The sequence below is a fragment of the Homo sapiens genome, chromosome 5, assembly GCF_000001405.40.
Source record: "Homo sapiens chromosome 5, GRCh38.p14 Primary Assembly".
Classification (NCBI taxonomy): domain Eukaryota; kingdom Metazoa; phylum Chordata; class Mammalia; order Primates; family Hominidae; genus Homo; species Homo sapiens.
The window spans coordinates 58,183,631-58,205,082 of NC_000005.10; the positions used below are offsets into that span (position 1 = coordinate 58,183,631).

The 21,452-nt window shown below is 37.2% G+C and overlaps 1 long non-coding RNA gene across 1 annotated transcript in view; it reads right to left on the reverse strand.

The window, feature by feature from the left end:
- Positions 1-3,074: 3,074 nt before the first annotated feature.
- The window catches only part of LOC105378983 (uncharacterized), a 32,196-nt gene continuing 13,818 nt past the window's right edge, over positions 3,075-21,452 (reverse strand). Inside the window, exons 3-4 of the long non-coding RNA XR_948350.2 lie at positions 14,231-14,294; positions 3,075-4,811 (exon numbers count right to left, since the gene is read on the reverse strand). This is a non-coding gene — a long non-coding RNA (uncharacterized LOC105378983). The remainder of the gene's footprint in view (positions 4,812-14,230; positions 14,295-21,452) is intronic.

Consider the following 21,452-nt stretch of genomic DNA (forward strand, 5'->3'; position numbering starts at 1 on the left):
GTTTAGAGATGAATACTGATAATTTTATTACAGGATTTACAAGTCGCCCGAGAGGTAAGAGCTGGTAACACAGGAGCCCTTAGCTTGAGAAGACCAGCAGGGAAGGTCTCTGGTTTAGGTAGCTAACCATACAGTAAGAATTCGCCAAATAATATGTGGAGAAAGGGGAGGATATTCTTGGCTAAGGGAGGAGCACTGAGAGAGCTTGGAACAGGTCAAGAGTTGCAAATACTGTAGTTTAGTTAGACTGAGCAAGAGAATAATATGAAATGAGGCCAGGAAAACAGGCAGGGACCAGATCATGATAAGGAGTTTGAATTTTATCCTAAGGCAATGGGCAGTCACTGAAGGATTCTAATGAAAAGTGACATGATCTGATGAACAGTTTAGAAAATTCATTCCGGCAACCTTAGGGAGGATAAATTGGAGGGCGATAATCTTGGAGGCAGGACAAGATAGTTAGGAGGTGGTAATAGTTAGAAGAAGAAACATAAAAAGGAACTAGGTAAGTTTGAGTTAGCTCAGCAACAATAGCACATACATGATTGTGTGGGTAATGATGGAGCATGAACAACATGTGCAAGGTGCAACAAGAACTTGCACGAATTATGTTAATGCACTTTTTAAAGAGATATATTTGTGCTAATAGACATGTTAGTCATTTTCCTGCATCTCCCATGACCCCAGTTGTTGCTGTAGAGACTTGATAATGAATTATTATTGCTATTTCATAAATTTCCATATAAATCACTCTGCCACAAAGACACACGCCCAAGAATGTTTATTGCAGCACTGCTAACAATAGCAAAGACATAGAATCAACCTAAATACCCATTAATGACAGATTGGATAAAGAAAGTGTGGTACATATACACCATGGAATACCATGCAGCCATAAGAAAGAACAAGATCATGTCTTCTGTGGGAACATGGATGGAGCTGGAGGCTGTTATCCTCAGCAAACTCATACAGGAACAGAAAACCAAATACTGCATATTGTTACTTATAAGTGGGAGCTAAATGATGAGAACTTATGACCATAAAGAAGGAAACAACAGACACTGGAAGGTGGGAGGAGGGAGAGGGGCAGAGAAGGTAACTACTGGGTTCAAAGAAAACCCAACAGTTATATCTGGGTTACAACTGGGTTATCGGCTTAATTCCTTGGTGATGGAATAATCTGTTCAAAAACCCCTGTGACATGAGTTTATCTATGTAACAAACCTGCACATATACCCCCGAATCAAAAATAAAATTTAAAAAACTGAGTTTGGGAGACAGGAACTAGCAACGGTCTTCCTTTACTGACTTGCCTACTCCTAACCTGGTTTATGAGGTAGATGGGTAAACGGAGAAGAGTAAACCTCAAATCAATGTGTGCTCTTCCATTCAGACTTTATTTTTACCATCTTTGCTTAGAACTATGCCAGCCAAGTGATTAAATGCTACAAAAATGTCAGTGGCTACACAGACAGGTCATGAGTCATATTGGGATTAACTGGATTTATCCACAATTTAAAAAATATTGATGTGACTCTAAAAGTATTTTAGGTTTGGCAGGACTTTGGGGGATTCTCTTATTTATTAATTTGTTGATAAGGCTAGTAAAATCAGTGATGAAAAGCAATAAGATATCAATGCAAATATTGACTAAAATATTTAGATCACCAGATTCCAGAGTAACAAATATATTTCTGTATAAAAAAATCCAGTCTAGGAAACCAGTCTACTATGTCACACAATTAATAATGAACAAATAAACAAAATAGTTTGAGCACTTTATCTGTATCAAGCCCTATGCAGTGTGTGTGTGTGTGTATGTGTTTGTGTGTGTGTATTTGATGCATATTTTCTCATTTAAGACATTTACCTTAAGGTAAGCAGCCTATAAAAGTTGTGACCATGGTTCAGCCAAGATGTTCTGACATCAAACGCTAGGCCCTGTCCTCTAACCTGTTCATTTTACCTTGCCTGCTGTTTCTAATAGGCACCTAATTCTTTTCTTTCAGACCATTGACTACCAAGTTGCTAGGCCAGGATTCAAACTCGGGTCTGCCTGCCTCCTGAACCCAAGATTTTGAGCATCACATTGGAGTACACAAAAACATGCTAGAACAGTGCTACTCAAAGTAGCCAGTCCATAACATGTCACTAATCCCCAAGGAAATGAAAGAACTTGGTCCAGAGTATAAATGAACACATTGGTTGCTTTACCGGGAAATGTATGCTATTTAAAAAGGAGTGTCAGCTTACTGGTATAGTTGGCTTAGATTCTGGTCAAGCTTCTTGATTATCTTGTTGCAATGTGTTAGCAAAGGGTTCACAGACAGGTGGCACAGGTTCATGGACAGCATTTGACTAGCAACACACCGGATCACTGTGTGGGTGCCAAATTCATCTGACTAGACTATCCCAAGGAAACTGCAAGCAAAATGTTTCATAAGTCCATACATGCATCATGGCTAACAAATGTTTCACTAAGGAATAAAGACGCTTTCATAGGCATATTTGAAATTTTTGAATGAGCTATATAAATCTTTTAGAATTTTTCATCAAAAGTTGTGTTTCAAAGTGAAGTTAACTTTCTATTTAGAGCACTGAAGTTGATAAGAGTTCTACAATTATACCTTGATTTTGATACTACACTTATAGAAGTTATGATGACTACATTGTTCAACAATTTGGGCCTATGATTTATATAGTTCATGTTAACCATTTTTTTACATATAACCTTGGAAAGCCTGAATAAAGTGCACCCTAGAAGTTCTATAGAAATATATATATATATATATATATATAGCATTAAAATAATAGAAAAGAGGTGGAGACTCAAATGAACAACTACCCATTTCTTCATAACTAACATCTTTAGTAAGATTTTCATAAATTTTTACAAAACTATTTTGAAAAGCATGAGTTTTGCAATGCAATTTGGAGGTCAACAATGTCTTTATCAATGTGTTTTTTTGGTACAATGATATTTACCAACAGTATATGGGGGAAATTTTATTTCCAACATTCTTACAGGTTTTATTTTACTTCCTTTCTGTCCTTTTTTCTTTTCCTCTCTCTTTCTTTAAAAAAAAGTGGTCTACCCAAAGCAAAGTCCAGTGCATTTATAAATTCTAAGAGGCAAAAAAACCATTATTATTTAATTTAATATTCATTGTTTAGCTGGAAGCAATTTCAAGCCCAGTTGAGGTAATAGTTTTTAATACTTCACAGCACATTGAGACTTACATAATTTTAAAAACTGCTGCATGCTGATGTCCACTGATGTCTTAGACTATAATTTTATAACTTTGAATGATATAAAGGTTTACAGTTGCTATTTTTTTGCATATTGCCTATCAGAGGCTTGATTAGGAATGTGATATGAATCTGTCTAATGGAGCAGGAACTATCTGTATGGGGTTAAGCTTTTAACCCAAAAATGTTTACTGAGCACCAATTATGCACAAGTAATTTGAAGTATTGGCCTTGTCTCTGAAAGGTGCTAACAGATAAACAACATCATTCTTCCATTTAGGCCGTAATTCTGTTCAGAAATTAAAGAGCAAAGGTTGTGAATGTCAGTTTTTCTTTCTTTCCTAAAAATCAATAGGTAATTACACTGACCCAAAAGGCAAAATGAATTCACTCTGTGAGTTTACCATTCATAGGACAGGACTTCACATTTACATGCCCATTTAAACATGCCCTGCTACAGTCACTTCTGAACATGTAAGAAGAGCTTCTTTGACATTCTGAAAAAATATTAACTCTAAAAGTTAGAGAGTAAACAATTTTAAGTGTTCAAATAGTACCTTCAAAAAATGATAAATAATTTCAATTTCTCTTTCAGGTAATAACATTGAGATATTGAGGTTCACTGGGAAAAATATTTTTGTTGGCACTTGGCACTTGGAATGCTTATAACATCACATCTTTAGTGGTATTACTTCAGCTATACCCTGTCTCATTGTTTATACAGATAGTGATGCATTTTGGTTAAGAATCTTAATAACAATAATCCTTTATATTTGTACAGTCTTTTTCAGTTCCAGGGCAGTTTAGATTTACCATCATATTAAATTCTTGCAAGGACTCTGTGAGATGACTGTAAGATTATTATTCTCATTGTGCCGTTGGGAAAACTGAAGCTCACAGAGTCCAAAGGCTATGAAGCATGGACTGGAAGCTGCCTGTCTGGGTTCAAATTCTGGCTCCATAGCTTGCCAAATATGTATAATTTGGAGCAAGTTACTTAACTTCTTTTGTATCAGTGTCCTCATCAGAAAATGAGGGTAATAACAGCACCTACCTTACTGGATTGTTATGACAGCTTAGGTTAATGTATGTTAAATACTTAACAGCAGTACCTGGCATATGGTAAATGCTACATGCATTTCAGAAATTGAGCCCAGATTTCTGACTGCATGTCTAGTGTTCCTTTCATTACAATAGTGTTTCAATTATGTCTTGTTACACCACTTCATGTGGTGGTTGACAGGGTACTGAACTAGAGGCAAAAGTACTACTACAGAAGCATATTCTGATGTTGTAGCTTCTACATTTTCCTGAATTAAAAACAATTAGGTAGTAATAATGTTCATGTAAACTATTTAGTAATCCTTCATGTGTACCAGGCTGGGTATCAAGCAAATAACGCATCTTTTACATGTATTATTCTATTCAATCCTCACAGCAGACCTGTTCATCTCCACTTGCAAACAAGGAACTGGAGTCACCAAGAGGTTAAGTTGTGCAGCGAGTCAGAGCATAGTGATAGGCATCAAAAGGGAGTTTCACGTCTGACTTAATATTGGTATCTGTGGAATGAAACAGGAATGTGCTTAATCATATCAAGCGATCTGATACTCAAACCTTTGTCTTCACCAGGGGTCACTGTCCTGGCAGTTACAGCATATTGCAAAACTGAAATCAAAGCTAAAGGCCTTAGAAATTTTTAATCTAAGCAAGAGCTGATTGTGTTTTAGTGGTGGATATCCAGTATAGTTTCCAACAATTGCAAATTGAAAGTAAAGGGAAAGTAAGCTAACAGACTCCTTAAAGTATCCACAGTCTTGGATAAAGCTTTTTTCTTCCAAATCTGCAATTATTCTTTTAAGGATTCAATTTAATTTATTATTTAAATTATTTTTAACATATATTATTTTAAAACTAAATTACATACAAATTTTCTTTTCCCTAATCTAAAGTTAAAATAAATCACTTTGTAATAATAACTGTGTAGAATTATATGAAAACATCATGTCTGTATTTTCAGTGCCTTAAGACACTTGGAATCTTTGGAGAATCTCACGTTCTAATTTTATTGGATTAGATATGCATGGCTTGGTGGCCTCAGAGGACAAGACTTAGGAGTAGCCCCAAAACATAGTCATCAGAAAAAAGAAAGAAAGTGGGGATTATTCTTTTAAGCAATTTAACCCAAAATCCAGGTTCCATGTTGTTCCGGCTTCAGAGTGAAATTTTTGTTCTCATCTAATTTTAAAGTTATACAACAACAGGAATGCTGTTAAGAAAACTCTGAGCATGAACCAAACCCGAGTGACAATACAGAACCCTGTTTTTATAGATGTTTGCCCCTAAAATAATAAAGTATAAAATATAAACTGACAAAATGGAATGCCCAGTCAAATAATATGATGTGACTTTGCATACATTTTATATCTCCTTACATGTCCAAAGGAGACATATTTTGTCAACATACAAATTCTGAGTGGCCTAGGAGGCAAGCCTATTCACAGTAATCCTCCTGGGAAAATAAGAAAGGAAGAGTAAGTACTAACTTTAGTATTAATTAGTTTTTGTGACACCATGGAACTTCCAACTTACAGGCTGGTAGGGATAGGGCACTCTGTCTCTATAGCATTGCAAAAACTGCTTTTCCTTCCATTTCTGCTTCAGATCACATGTTCTGGCTCAGCAGGGGCTAACGAGATGGAGGGAGCAGAATCTCTGTCTCTCCCTCTCAGATATTCTGATAAAGCCCTACTCCTGTCAGTTGGAGATCAGGTGTGGAGTTTCTGTTGGGTAATAATTTCCAATTTTAGTTATCTAGAGTTTAATAGCTATTGTTTTAAGTTATTGTTTTAAAGAAATAAAAATCACTGGTATATTTTAAAGCATCTTAATTAGTAGCCATGTATTATTTTCAATAGCTGATAAACAATTAGGCTTTAAACATTAAACATCAAATCATTAAGAAATTCAGTTGAAGTAATCAGAACTAATATTGATGAAGAGGAGTATGACTGACTAGGAGGGCATTCATTTTTCCCCCAAAATCACACTGGGTAAATATGGTAACAGATGAATAAGGCCACACACAAACATCAACTTAGTCACTGTATAAGCATGCCATTTAAAGTGATTTTTAAGCTGACCATCACCTAATTTGGGTAACTACATTTCTAGGTTCTACCTGGACTCCTCTGATGTGTGTGCCAAGACAGACAACACTTTCATAAGCACATTATAGACTCAAACAAACAGAAGTGACAAAATGTGCAGAAGGACATTGTAAATTATTCTACAGGGGACAGCTTCATGTCTAGATAATTGTTTTCCTCCTTCTTAGTATTTGTTGCTAATCATGAGAATAATTGTCCAATTCACCTACTGTGTCTTCTCACAATTACTATTCAATGCATTTTTCAGATATTTTAAGACGTTCTCAAAACTGTGGAGCAAATCATACAAATGGGGTAATACACATGAAAACAGGTACTTCCCTTGCCCCGCTCATACATTTGATCTCTTCTTTCCTGGCTGCTTGCAGATTGAGTTCACAGAAACATATGGGGATAAAGGAAGAAGGCTGATTTTTAAAGAAGCAGATTAGAACCCTTCCCACGCTTGGATGTCATCCTCCTCAAAGTAGATTAATGTTCTCTACTCCATTTCTGTTTTCTTCTCTCTGGTTTTACTGTATTTTTTTTTCTTTTATTGCATTGGCAAAATCTGCAAAATTAAAAACTTGTCCTTTAAGGGTAAACATACACAGAGAGTCTTTTTCATCTGCTTAAGTTCTAAGTCAGCAGAATTTAATTTCCCTGAGCAAAATAGTTCCCTGACTGTGTCTTGTTAATTACTAAAGTGTTCCTTCCCTAAATTTGTTTTCATTCTTGTATCTCCTTTGAGTTTCTCTCAGGAAGAAGTACCCAATCAATCTCAGGGTCAGTGGCTGGGGGTGCCATGGCCTTGCACCTAATGCTGTTTCCATATCTATTGAACCCTCGTTTTGACAGGACGTTGGCTACCGAGTTCTCCTTTTGCATCTCTTTCCTCTCTTCTCCTGGGTCCACATCCTCCAATCACAATGACCCCCATCAGTTTCAAAGGTTCCATGATCCTTTGCCTTTCTGACATTATGATTTCCTCTGTTAAGTAATTTTTTTCTTTTGTAGCATTTTTTACAATTTGAAATTGTGTATTTACTTTGTGATTATTTGCTTAATGTTCATTTCCCTCACCAGACTAAGCTCCATGAGGTGGGGGCTTGATCTATATCATACATGTTTGTAATACCATGCTTTGCATAGCCAGGCACAGAATAGGCTCTCAGTATCCTGGGAATGAATACAAGCATGTCCAGAATTCTTTACCAATCATAACAAAGTGCCAGTGTCACACAATTTGCATTTACATAAAACAATCAGATCGTTTTCAGCTTCTATCGGTTATATTTCAGAATGGGAGTCTCTGATTACATTTCAGGAGATTTTCCTAGGTTTATCGGTGAGCTCTGCCAAAATTGTCTCAAAAACTACGTTTGTAATTTATAATTCTCATGGGAAGCACACAGACAAGGAAAAGAGCCTGAAATAGAGAATATAGTTAGTTTATGTTGAATCTATGCATTCTATTTCAGAAAGTAATGTTTTCCCTGCCTTAGAATCTGAAGGTTCATTCATTTATCCAATAAATAATTATTGAGTGACTTTTATATGCCCAACATTGCCCAAGGCCCTGAAGATTAGGCAGTGAACCAGGCATGGCCAAAAGTCTTCTATTGCACAACTAACTACAAATCATTCCCCAAGCTACCCTCTCCACCCTCACCCACCAGCACAGACAATCAGTCCATTTATCTCATCGTTCACTCTGGATCTTTCAATGAAGTGGAAGAGAAGAAAGACTGCTTATGAAGAAAGTAAAGAATTTTGAATTTTTTGAGATATATGGAATATAGAAAAATATAGATTTCACCAGCAATTGGGGTTGGAAATAATAGGCTAGTAGATTTAAAAAAAAAAATCCTTAAATATTAAAATGACAACAAACATATCCTGGAACAGTGGTTCTTAACTGGGGGTTACTGTTTGGGATATATCATAATCACCCGGACTGTTCTCTTCCCCCTGCCCCAAATGCAGCCCCATTTGGTCACATACAGACTCCACTTCAGAGTGTATTGCCCTACACAATGATGTATTTTGGGTGATAAGTTCTGCACTTATTAAACAAATGATCAGAACTTCTATTCTCCACTATTATGCTGAGAATAAATCATGAAGCTGTTGATTCTTAATCACATATCTACTTTGCTTTATCACTTTTTGCAATTCTAGATTGTGTGGCCATTATCCTGTGGGGAGAGATGAAAATATGTTTCATACATGATGCAGTCAGTCAAAGAATCTTTTTTATAAACCTCTTTGTCATATTTATAGAGGCGAATGCTCAAGAAGTAAATGTTTTTCCAGTTACATGAACAAAACAGTTAATTCATTTCACTTTCTTTTCAAGGTGAAATTAGTGAATCATCATCTCTTTTCCACCAGGAATTTACCTTGGTTATTGTTTTCACCTTTATTTGTGGCTTCTTAATAGGGTCATCTGTTACTATAAATTTGAATATATCAAAAAGTTGGTTAAAATAAAAGAAGAAAATATTCAGACTAATTTGACTGATCTTTCATTAAACTCTAGTGAGGGAAGAATTGCTCATTACTTTTTGGTTGGTGTTGTTATTTACTGAATACATTGGCCCTCTAAGTTGGCAGCACTAATTAGATATAATAAAACAGGTGTTTTCTATTAACTAAACAACAAGTAATTAAAATTTTTGTATGGTAGATTAAAAGTGTGACATCATGTTAAGAAGATTAAAAAACTCAAATAAAATTGAAATAAACCAGTGGAACTGTGGCTCATTTTTTATAGAAATTTTATAGTTTGCTCTATTTTACCTATTGGTCATCTGCAAAATTAATAAGATTAGTCTCTATATTAACTAAAATAATAGGTCTTATTCTCTGTAAGATGCATTTTAATATGCATAAAATCTCAAAATTTTTAGTGATATTTGACAATTTAAAATATATTAACTACCAAGTTTAAAAGAAATTCAAGCTATTGAGATACTGAATATGCTTATCAAAATACCCATGCTGATTAGCTCTGCCTTCCACATATTCTGCTATTCTTCTAGGGAGTGGCCCAATCACTTTCATATCACCACCAATTCTCTGCATAAGTCCTATTAGGAATCTAAAATTTTGGGAGCGGTGGCTCACGCCTGTAAACCCAGCACTTTGGGAGGCGGAGGTGAGCAGATCACTTGAGGTCAGAAGTTTGAGACCAGCCTGGCCAACATGGTGAAACCCCGTCTCAGAAATAATGCCACATATCTACAACTATCTGATCTTTGACAAACCTGAGAAAAACAAGAAATGGGGAAAGGATTCCCTATTTAATAAATGGTGATGGGAAAACTGACTAGCCATATGTAGAAAGCTGAAACTGGATCCCTTCCTTACACCTTATACAAAAATTAATTCAAGATGGATTAAAGACTTAAATGTTAGACCTAAAACCACAAAAACCCTAGAAGAAAACCTAGGCAATACCATTCAGGACATAGGCATGGGCAAGGACTTCACGTCTAAAACACCAAAAGCAATGGCAACAAAAGCCAAAATTGACAAATGGGATCTAATTAAACTAAAGAGCTTCTGCACAGCAAAAGAAACTACCATCAGAGTGAACAGGCAACCTACAGAATGGGAGAAAATTTTTGCAATCTACTCATCTGACAAAGGGCTAATATCCAGAATCTACAATGAACTCAAACAAATTTACAAGAAAAAACAAACAACCCCATCAACAAGTGGGCAAATGATATGAACAGACACTTCTCAAAAGAAGACATTTATGCAGCCAAAAGACACATGAAAAAATGCTCATCATCACTGGCCATCAGAGAAATGCAAATCAAAATCACAATGAGATACCATCTCACACCAGTTAGAATGGCGATCATTAAAAAGTCAGGAAACAACAGGTGCTGGAGAGGATGTGGAGAAATAGGAACACTTTTACACTGTTGGTGGGACTGTAAACTAGTTCTACCATTGTGGAAGACAGTGTGGTGACTCCTCAGGGATCTAGAACTAGAAATACCATTTGACCCCAGCCATCCCATTACTGGGTATATACCCAAAGGATTGTAAATCATGCTGCTATAAAGACACATGCACATGTATGTTTATTGCGGCACTATTCACAATAGCAAAGACTTGGAACCAAGCCAAATGTCCAACAATGATAGACTGGATTAAGAAAATGTGGCACATATACACCATGGAATACTATGCAGCCATAAAAAAGGATGAGTTCATGTCCTTTGTAGTGACATGGATGAAGCTGGAAACCATCATTCTCAGCAAACTATCACACGGACAAAAAACCAAACACAGCATGTTCTCACTCATAGGTGGGAATTGAACAATGAGAACACATGGACACAGAAAGGGGAACATCAGACACTGGGGCCTGTTGTAGGGTAGGGGGAGGGGGAGGGGGGAGGGATAGCATTAGGAGATACACCTAATGGTAAACAAATAGTTAATGGGTGCAGCACACCAACATGGCACGTGTATATATATGTAACAAACCTGCACATTGTGCACATGTACCCTAAAACTTAAAGTATAGTAAAAAAAAAAAAAACCTAAAATTATTATTTTTAAAATCACAACTTTCTTTTCCACTTCCTCCAGTTCCTTGAGGAATTTGTTCATCGTCTACTGGGCCTGTTATGTCATTTTCAGTTTTGCCTCTGCTCTCTGCCTGGAATGTTCCATAATTGCTTTTCAGGTAAGATACTTCTGGGTGGGAGAGCACTGAGCCATTTTCTTTGTGACTCTAAAATTCATAAAACTTCATCAGTCTTTAAAAGAGTAATGGATTCTGCCTGAGAGTGCTCCTTAACTCAGTAACTTCAACTGAAGGCTACATTTATTTTCTTCTATATAGGTTTTGTTTGTCAAAGTATATTTGTTCAGACAATTGAACATCTTTTTATTTACTCTAATTAAGTATATTGTTATTTATTCAATTTCCAAGAATTTAAAAAATATTTTAGTGATTAAGGATTCCTATTGAAAATAGTTAAATAATATTTTAGATAAATGTGGACACAGGCACAATTTATTTTCTAAGATCTTTAGGAAGCAAGGACTAATAGCTGGATACTAGCAAATATGATTCCTGTCACTGATGCTTTCAGAGCAAAAGTCACACCTACTTTTGCTTTATAACATACTGTACTTAGATTCGATCTTGCTATTAGAATAGGCAGGTCAATGGTCCTGCTGCAACAGCCAGAAAAAGCTGGATACATTATAAATATAACATTTTGAAAGTAATTGAATGATGTGGCAGCAGCAAAGACTAAATGAATTAAAATTCCAGAGAGAGGAGAACCTTTTTGAGGAAAGCTGATTATCAAGTGTTTCCCAGAAGGTTTTGCCTATTGTGTCGTTAGGCTGATGATCAAATATGGCCCAGCCAGAGAACCTCTGCTGTGGGGATAGAAAAACCAGCAAAGCTTTTAGTGCTGGGCTAGGGTGAAGCAATGGAAGCTCTAGGGCACTTCCAGTTTTCTCCATGGGACATTTGCTGAATCCTGAGGTTGCAAGAAAAGATGGGAGGCCAGGACACAAACTTCTGAAAAGCGGAATGCAACTCCCAAAGTCAGTCGTGCTTAGAAAATATACGGTCAGTCTTCCCTTCAAGACATTTAACAAATATTTAAAGCCATGTGGGGCAGGAGCTAAGCAAAATAATCTCTGAAGGGCATGAACAAAGCTTCTATAGCCTTTCAGGACTGAGAAGACAAAGACCTGTCAGACTTTCATGCAGAAGTTCAGGAGGGCCATGCCCTAAGAACAGGGTGGATTGGAAGTTGGCTGAGTCTTAATCAAACTACAGCCCAGCTGGGATCACACTCAGTCTCTGATAGAATTGAGGAGTTAATCCTTTCTCCTCCTCACCTTAAATGACTCTCAGAAGAAAGAGAGGATCTTTTCAGGTGGAAGATAAGATTATCTAGGGCCTCCGATATTTGTTTAAACACAACATGCAGAGAGAAACTAAAACTACCGGATATTCCTAGAAGTAAAACCATATGGCCATTAATAAAGAGGAAGCAAAAGACAGTAAAAGCAGACAGACAGATGATCTAGCTATTGGAGTTAGCAAACTGGGACTTTTTAAAACTGCTTAATATGTTCAAGGAAAAAGAAGAAAAGATAGATATAAGAAGGTAAAAGTTAGACAACTTCTCCAGAGTTCATCTCTGTTGGCTTGAGTCTTTAAATCTTCTGTTTTCTGGTATAGCCCTATTGGGTTTTGATACTATGCTAGGATTCACCTTCCATTTTAATCTCTTTCCATGGGCTTGGGCATGTGTGAGTTCAAGCCTTTGTTAAACTAGAAATGTGATTCCTGATTGTGTCACATTTTGTGACATGAGTATGCGATTAATCCTGTGTACAATTGTGTGACAGATTTTTTTCCTCTTAAAACAAAAGATTTTAAGCACTAAGGTTACTGAGGTTGATAGTTAAGTCAGTGACATGTGGAGGAGGTGATGGGGGGGCTCCGGCCCAGAGGAGCATTTCATCACTGACATTTTTTCGATTTGTCAGTGTGCCATGAAAATAAAAACTTGACAGCATTTCAGTGGGTTTACCATTGTTTTTACATGCTCTTCAGGCAATGCACACCTTTACTGCCCACACCCATGTTGGATATGGCCATCACCTCCTCCTGCCCCTTGATCAGCCTCCACATAGTCTCTTGAAATTGTTCATTTAATCTTATAATTAGAAAAGTCTCCCAAGTCTCCAATTGTTTCCACAAATAACTGGATTCCTTTAAAAAGATGCAACTTACAAGATTAGAAAACCTCTACAAAGCAATCAATAAAATCTTCAATGTGTCAAGTTGTTAGGCAGGCTGGGGAAAGAAAGGGAGCCACCACTGATCTCTTTTTTCGTGTGGAGAAAGTTGAAGGGGAAAGTTCATTCATAGGAGGTGACATATTGTCAACTGAAGTTAGATCCTAAGTAGTTATAGTGCCCAGTTGATATACGTTTAAAGGACATCTTTTAACAAAGATGATATGTCTCCAGGACATTCTTGAGCAAAGCACAATTATCAAAAAACCAATTATCCAGCAACCTCTCATATTTAGAAAATAACCCAAAATATTAAAAATCTATGAGTAACTGAAATTAGAATCAGAAAATCTGTATATAAAGCTGTGTCGGTCTTTAAGACTATTCACAAATCTTCTAGCCCTCTTACTTCCTAGAATGTGGTAGAACTGCAACACCCACCCTCTTTGAATTTGAGCGCAATCACGTGACTTGCTTTAGCCAGTGAATTGTGAGAGTTCTATGAAAATATCAAGAAAAGATATGTGAAGATCGGGCTTTCATAAGTCTTGAGACTTCAATGGCTACCATAAATGGAGTACTTCTGCTCCTGTTCATTGGACATATAGCACGAGTAAGAAATACCTTTGTGGTCTTAAGTCTTTGAAGATTGAGAGATATTAATTACTGCAGCATAACCTATCTTACACTGACTGCCTAAATAGTCTTCACAAAAGTGGGCATAAATGGTCACAGCCAGAGAAGAAATGTGAACTATAACTTCTTCCCATCAAAGAGAAGACTTTTAGGTTGCATTCATCCAGAAAGCTGTTCTCCCACCAAAAACCAAAACTTTCAAGGTGCTCATGGAAACAGAGAATATCCAGTGCCACACAAGTTGAATGGTACCATTCCCGGGATAATGTCATTTTGCAGTTCGAAGAAAGTACATTATAAGGTAGCAGACCTTAAATTTTGGCATGCAGCAAATCTGGACATTTTCTAGATCTTGGAAATGCAGATAACAAAGACTACAAAATTATAATAATTCTTACCTTCAAACAATTGCAGGTTCAGCATTCCTGGTGGAAGCAATCTGGGCCTGGTTAAAGGAAGTGGCTGTTCCAAAAGTAGAAGGGCAGACAAAGCCAAATCTGGGTGAGAGATGAAGAAGGAACTCCAGAGCAAGCCACAAATGACTTTAGCTTCAAATAGAATCAAAAGCCAATTAAAGAATCATGCTACATTTATAAAGTATATAGGTTCCATGATTCAGTTGATTGTGTATTTTTCTCATTCCATAGTGTAGATTCAGACATTTACAATTCTTTTACTGTGTTTATAAAATCTCAGAAGTTTTTTTCTAATCCCAAGTAATATTATTGTTTAGTGTTGCTACCTTCAACAGTTCTCTTAGGTAGATCTAGACAATTTGCTGCAGCTTCTATATCAACACTTGCTGCTTCACCTTGCACTTTTATGTTATAGAGATGGGTTCTTTCCTTTAACCTCATGAACAAAACTCTGCTACCTTCAAACTTTTCTTTTGCAGCTTCCTGATTGAAGCCTTCACAAATTAAAGAGAGTTAGAGCTTTGCTCTAGATTAGGCTTGGGCTTAAGGAAATACCGGGGTTGGTTTAATCCTCTATGTACTAAAACTTTCTCCATATCAGCAATGAGTCTGTCTTGCTTTTTTCTGAGTCACGTGTCCACTGGAGTAGCATTTTTAATCTCCTTCAAACATTTTTCCTTTGCTTTCACAACTTGGCTGTTTGGCACAAAAGATCTAGCTTTCAACCTAACTTGGCTTCAACATGACTTTCTCACTAAACTTAATCATTTCTAGTTGTTGATTTGTGACCCTTCCTTTCATTTGAACACTGAGAGGCCATTGTAACATTATTATTTAGCTTAATATCAATACTGTTGTGTATCAGGGAATAGGGAGGCTGGAGAAGAGGGAGAGAGACAGGGGAATGGCTGATCAGTGGAGCTGTCAGAACACATACAACATATATCAATTAAATTCTCCATCATATATGGGCACAGTTTGTGGCACCCCAAAACATGATAGTAACATCCAAGATCATTGATCACAGACCACCATAAAACATATTATAATAATGAAAACATTTGAAATATTGATAGGATTACAGAAATGTGACACAAAGACACAACATGAGCACATGCTATTGGAAAAATAAGGCTGATAGACTTGCTTGATTCAGGGTTGCCACAAACCCTCAATTTGTAAAAATACAGTATCTGTGAAGCACAGTAAAGTGAAGCACAATAAAATGAATATGCCTGTATTTAAGGAACAAGAAAACTGAGCTAACCTTGAAACCAACCTGCCTCGTTTTCCGGTCTTAGGTCACCTACCTCTTATGTCCTTCCTCTCATAACAAAACACAATTTGACTCTGATGATAAAGAACCAAATTATGCCATGCTGAAAAAGACCATGTGGCTATAATCACATTGCAATAACTCAATTGGGAAGAGGAGGGAAAAGCATATAATAGAGGGTATCATAGCTAACAAGCAAATTGCAAATGTGTTTGAAGATGATAAGCTGAGTCCATGATTTTCAAACAAGAACACCAAACATGAGCTGTTCAATGTGTTGCTATCATTGAAACATAGAAAAAAATGAAGAAAATTCCTGAACTTTTACTTTTACCTATATTATTAACCACAGTAAACTATTCAGCTCACCAAACTTGAATTCAGGCATCCCAATTGTCCCAAGGGTTTGGTTTAGAATAAAATGTGTTGCTAAAAGTATAGAAACACTCCAGACTGTTGGTATTTTCCCCTTTAAGCATCACAACTATTATTGTTATTACTATTTTGGGGTAAACTGTTTCCAAAATGTGCAATCCAAAGAGGATATAAAATAGAATCTCATGTTTTCTTGATGAAATTCTGCCATAGTTGTGAACATATATGACTCTTCAGTGCTGGCAGACAGTAACATCGTGATGAGCTATTGAGGTATAGAAGGCCACTTACCCCTATCTGAAATGTGCCAGACTAGAGTGTTTTAAAGTTTTTAGGTCTGCTTTTTAGATTTCTTCTTCTTCTCCCATGCTATCATGCCATGCCATATTCTTCTTGCTATTGTCAGTATCTGCATCTAGTGACCCAAATCTCTACCTCACCCCCAAGCTACTTACCACTACTTCTTGAAAAGCTTTGGTTCATAAATAACAGCCAACATGGCCAGATAAGAATAACATTTAAAAGACAACATCCTAAGAATGCAGTTCCTAACCTTTGGAAATTATAGAAACATGGAAGAATCTAAAATAAAGTTGTAAACACTCTTCCCATATTCATGTCTGCATATAATTTGGTGGCAGGGTTTGTGAAATTCATTTGTAGATGTTGGAGCACACAAATAATGATCTAGAAGTATGAGAATTATTCTAAGTGCTTTTCTGACCAAAGGAGTACTCCTACTTACTGCATCCTTTGGGCACCAAAATATTTCCTCTCTCTAATGATTGGTTTGAACATTCTAATGCAGCTGCTTGTAATGGGAGCAATCAATAAATATTTGTTAAATATTCATCAATAATATTGATGGATTTTCAATGTAGAGAAAACAGCCTTATATTGGAAGAAATTATCTTCAACTTTCCTAGCTGGGGAAAAGTCAATGCCTAGCTTCAAAGCTGCAAAGGAGAGGCTGACTTTCTTGCCGGGAACTACAATGCCTACCTTCAAAGCTGCAAAGGAGAGACTGGCTCTCTTACCAGGAACTAACACAGCTGGTGACTTTCAGTCAATGCTTATTTACCATTCCCAAAATCCTAGGGCCCTTCAGAATTATGCAAGATCTTCTCTGCCTGTGGTCTATAAATGGAAACACAAAGTCTGGATGAAAGCACATCTGTTTGCAGTATGGCTTACAGAATATTTTTAGCACACTGTTGAGACCTGCTTCTTAGAAAAAAGATTACTTTCAAAATATTACTGCTTATTGACAATGCACCTGGTCACCCATGAGCTCTGATGGAGATGTACAAGGAGATTAATGTTGTTTTCATGCCTGCTAACACAACGTCCATTCTGCAGCCCATGGATCAAGGAGTAATTTTGAATTTCAAGTCTTATTATTTAAGAAGTACATTTTATAAGCATATAGCTGCCATAGATAGTGACTCCTTTGATGGATCTGAGCAAAGTAAGTTGAAAACCTTCTGGAAAAGAGTCATCATTCTAGATGCTATTAAGAACATTCATAATTCATGGAAAGAGGTCAAAATATCAACATTAACAGGAGCTTTTAAGAAATTGATTTGAACGCTCATGAATGACTTTGAGGGATTGAAGACTTCAGTGAAGGAATAACTGTAGATGTGGCAGAAATAGCAAAAGAACTAGAATTAGAAGTGGAATCTGGAGAAGCGACTGAATTGCTGCTATCTCATAATTAAACTTTAACAGATGTGGAGTTGCTTCTTATGGATGAGCAAAGAAAGTGATTTATTGAGATAGAATTTATTCCTGGTGAAGATGCCATGAACATTGTTGAAATGATAATGAATGATTTAGAATATTACATAAACTTAGTTGATAAAGCAGCAGCAGGGTTTGAGAGGATAGACTTCAATTTGAAAGACATTCTACTATGGGTCAAATGCAATCAAATAGCATCACATGCTACAGAAAAGTATTTAATGAAAGGAAGAGCCAGATGATATGGCAAACTTCATTGTTGTCTTATTTTAAGAAATTGCCACAGCCACCCCAACCTTCAACAACCCCCACCCTGATTTGTCAACAGCTATTGCTGTCGAGACAAGACCCTCCACCAGCAAAAACATTATGACTCACTGAAGGCTCAGATGATCATTAACATTTTTTAGCAATAAAGTATTTTTAAATTAAGGTACGTACATTGTTTTTCAGAAATAATGTTATTGCACATTATTAGACTGTAGTATAGTGTAAACATAACTTTTATATGCACTGGAAAACAAAAAAAATGTGTGGCTGGCTTCATTGCAATATTTACTTTATTGTGATGGTCTAGAACCAAACAGCAATGTCTCTGAGGTAGTTGCTATCTCCAGTCTCCACTAAGAAGATATCTAATACACAGAAATAATAAACAGAATGTGTAGATTCTATTCCTGAAATGTACTGTCTAGGGCAAGTCACAGCTTCTACATTGTGATTGAATCTTTTATAAAGTAGAATTATATAATTGCAATTCCCCTCCTGTCACCAGGGATGTGGTAAAGATAAATGAGGTGATTCATGCAGAATGTGCTGAGGCCCTTAAAAGGTGCTTTGTCAATTGGAAGTGATTTTTTTCTTGTTGTTGTTGGCATCTTCCATGCCCTCGCCCATTAGCAGTCATTACTGTGCTCTGATGGACTGACACAGCAGCAAAGCCGAGACAGCCAGTGAGGTTTAGAAAAGAAGCCAAGAAGCGGCAGGATTAGATGGACCTATGCAGCATGTAGAAATCAGAAACTGGGAGCTTCTTCCTCGGGACCTCAGCCAATTGTGAGCCAGCCTTAAAAGGCAATGTTAAAGCCATAATTTAGCATTGCCTTCCCTTCACCTGTCCCTTCACCACTCCCATCCGTAGTGTCTCGGGAAGTGTCTTTACCTTTCTCATTCTTTACCTTTCAGGACAAGGGACAGCAATGAGAAGCCATGGGTGAATTCAGAGAGAAGGAGATTTAAAGAGTTTAAGGCCACATCCACATGTAGAGTGGGCACAGTGTTAGCTAGCATTCATTAGCCCACCCCTGGGGGTCAGCAGTGTCCTGTGCTAGGATGTGAAGTGAGGAGACATGGATTATATGGATGATGATCATGAACCACTTCCCCTGCCATTCTGCGAGAGCAGTCATTTTGTATCTGATGGACTCATGCATTAGGATGTGGGAATAGGAACAACAGGATGGAATGAGAAGTCTGGAAAGTCAGTCAATGCAGAGGGCAATGCAGAAGACTTCCAGCAGACTCATCAAATCAGGGAGAGGGCTGGGCCCTTAGAGGACCTGCGTGAGAACCCCAGGGAAACCAGAGCTCGAGGAACTCTAGTGCAGGCAATTCTCTTCAGATGGTGCTATTGTGTTTACTCCCAGAGAAGAAGCAGTGCTTTCCAGTAATCCCTCAATGCCTTTGAGGTTAGGAGAGGTTAAAAATATAATTGATTAGTTAAAACACCCGGGTTTTGGTACAGTAAACTCATGAAGATGGATTTGTACATTTGGGGGCTTGGAGAAGAAAAATGAAGTCTCTGATTCTTGCATACCTAGAGAAAGCAGAAGTGGGAGACTTTACCAGAAAACCATAGTAACAGACTTGTACTTCAAAACAAATTTGCAAACAATTTCTGATAAATCTCTGCCAAAGTAGCATTGAGCATTTCTGTTCAAACAATGGGAATGTGTCAGTGACTGGGTACTGCATCATTCATTGCAATTGTGCATAGCAGAATTTTGCATATATGTGACCTACAGGGTGGAGATTTCAGTCATCACACAGTGGGCACCTACTACACATATGGTATCTTGTTATCTCTCATTCCAACTCTATGAAGTATTGATTACTATCCATTAACGGATGAGGAAATCAAAGCTCAAACAATTTAAATGACATACTTAACATCCTATGTGAAAATGTAGAAGAGCCAGTCTAGAAACCAAGATCTCCCATCTTGAAGTTGGCATGCTACACAGGAGCCACTTCCATTCAGTACTCTTTAAAAGATGCAATATACTGTCATGTTTGACAGACATAGAGGGAATAACAAAAAGCAGTATTAAAAATTCATGCATGTCAGAATTTCAAATTTTGGATTTACGGTATTCAGGGCATTTCCTCCTACCATGGGAAAAAAAAAAGAAAAGAAGAGAGATAAAGGACAAGCTAGTATTGGGATCCTACCTCCCCATCTACTTAACAGATCATTAAGTAAATTCAACTGAAAATGTGAAAGATTTTCAATTTTAGTTGTTCTTGGAAACAACCTAAGTTGCTTCACATTTGGGCCCTCCTACTCTCCCCCATGTGTTGACTGTAGTGCCACAATTATCTTTCCAGAGGTCCTCTTAGTTCACATGAGGTATATATGTAGCAAGGGAGTGGGGAAGAAAATACAGCTGCATCTATGAAATACTCCATTGTCAGTAAGGGGGGTCACTGGGATTAAATATGAGAAGGCTATAAAAGTTAGAATGATGATCTAGCACTACTATTTATTATTTTGTAGTCGTATTTCTCATAAAACTAAATGAAAAATGTAAAGCTTTTTCCTTTTTTAGGTGAGAAAATAGAATTTCAAAACTGACAACCTTGGCTAAGCAAGGCAGCTCATGGCTGTGATCCCAGCACTTTGAGAGGCCAAAGTGGGAGGATTGCTTGAGCCCAGGAGTTGGAGACCAGCCTGGGCAACATGGTGAAACCCCATCTCTACCAACAACAACAACAACAAAAATGCAAAAATTAGTGAGGCATGGTGGTCCGTGCCTATAGTCCCAGCTACTCAGTAGGCTGAGGCTATCACTTGAGCCCAAGAGGCAGAGTTCCAATGAGCTGAGATGGCACCACTGCACTCCAGCCTGGGCAACAGAGTGAGACCCTGTCTCAAAAATAAAACAAAACAAAAAAACCTGATAATCCTGACTTGCAAATTCATATAGAAACTAAGTTTCCAGTTAAAAGCTCCTTCCAAAATGGCAGCAAGTTTTCAGCAAAGGGAGAGAAAGTGTAATTTCAAGCATGAAATCAACATACATTTATTGAGGACTAAACTTATGTTAGATGCTGTAGTGGATTGAATGGTGATCCCCAAAAGATACGTCCATGTTTTAACCCCTGAAACCTGTGAATGTGATTTTATTTGCAAAATGGAATTTTACAGATATAATTCATTATTTTGAGGTGAGATCATCCTGGATTACAAAAGTAGGCCCTAAACATAATAACTAGTTACCTTACAAGAGACAGACAGGAAAAGGCAGAGGTATAAAGGAGAAGGCCATGAGAAGACACAGAGATTGGAGTTACAGAGCTACAAGCCAAGGAAGCTAGAATGGTAAAGAAAAATTCTTTCCTAAAGCCTTCTGATGGAGCACAGCCCGGCCAGCACCTTGATTTCAGACTTCTAGGCTCCAGGACTGTTGTTTTAAGTCACCCAGTTTGTGGTAGTTTATTATAGCAGCCCTGGGAAACTAACATACGTGCTAGGAAAAGAGAGATCCACAAATTCTGATTTTTAGCCTTGATGCCGAGGATCACAGTCTA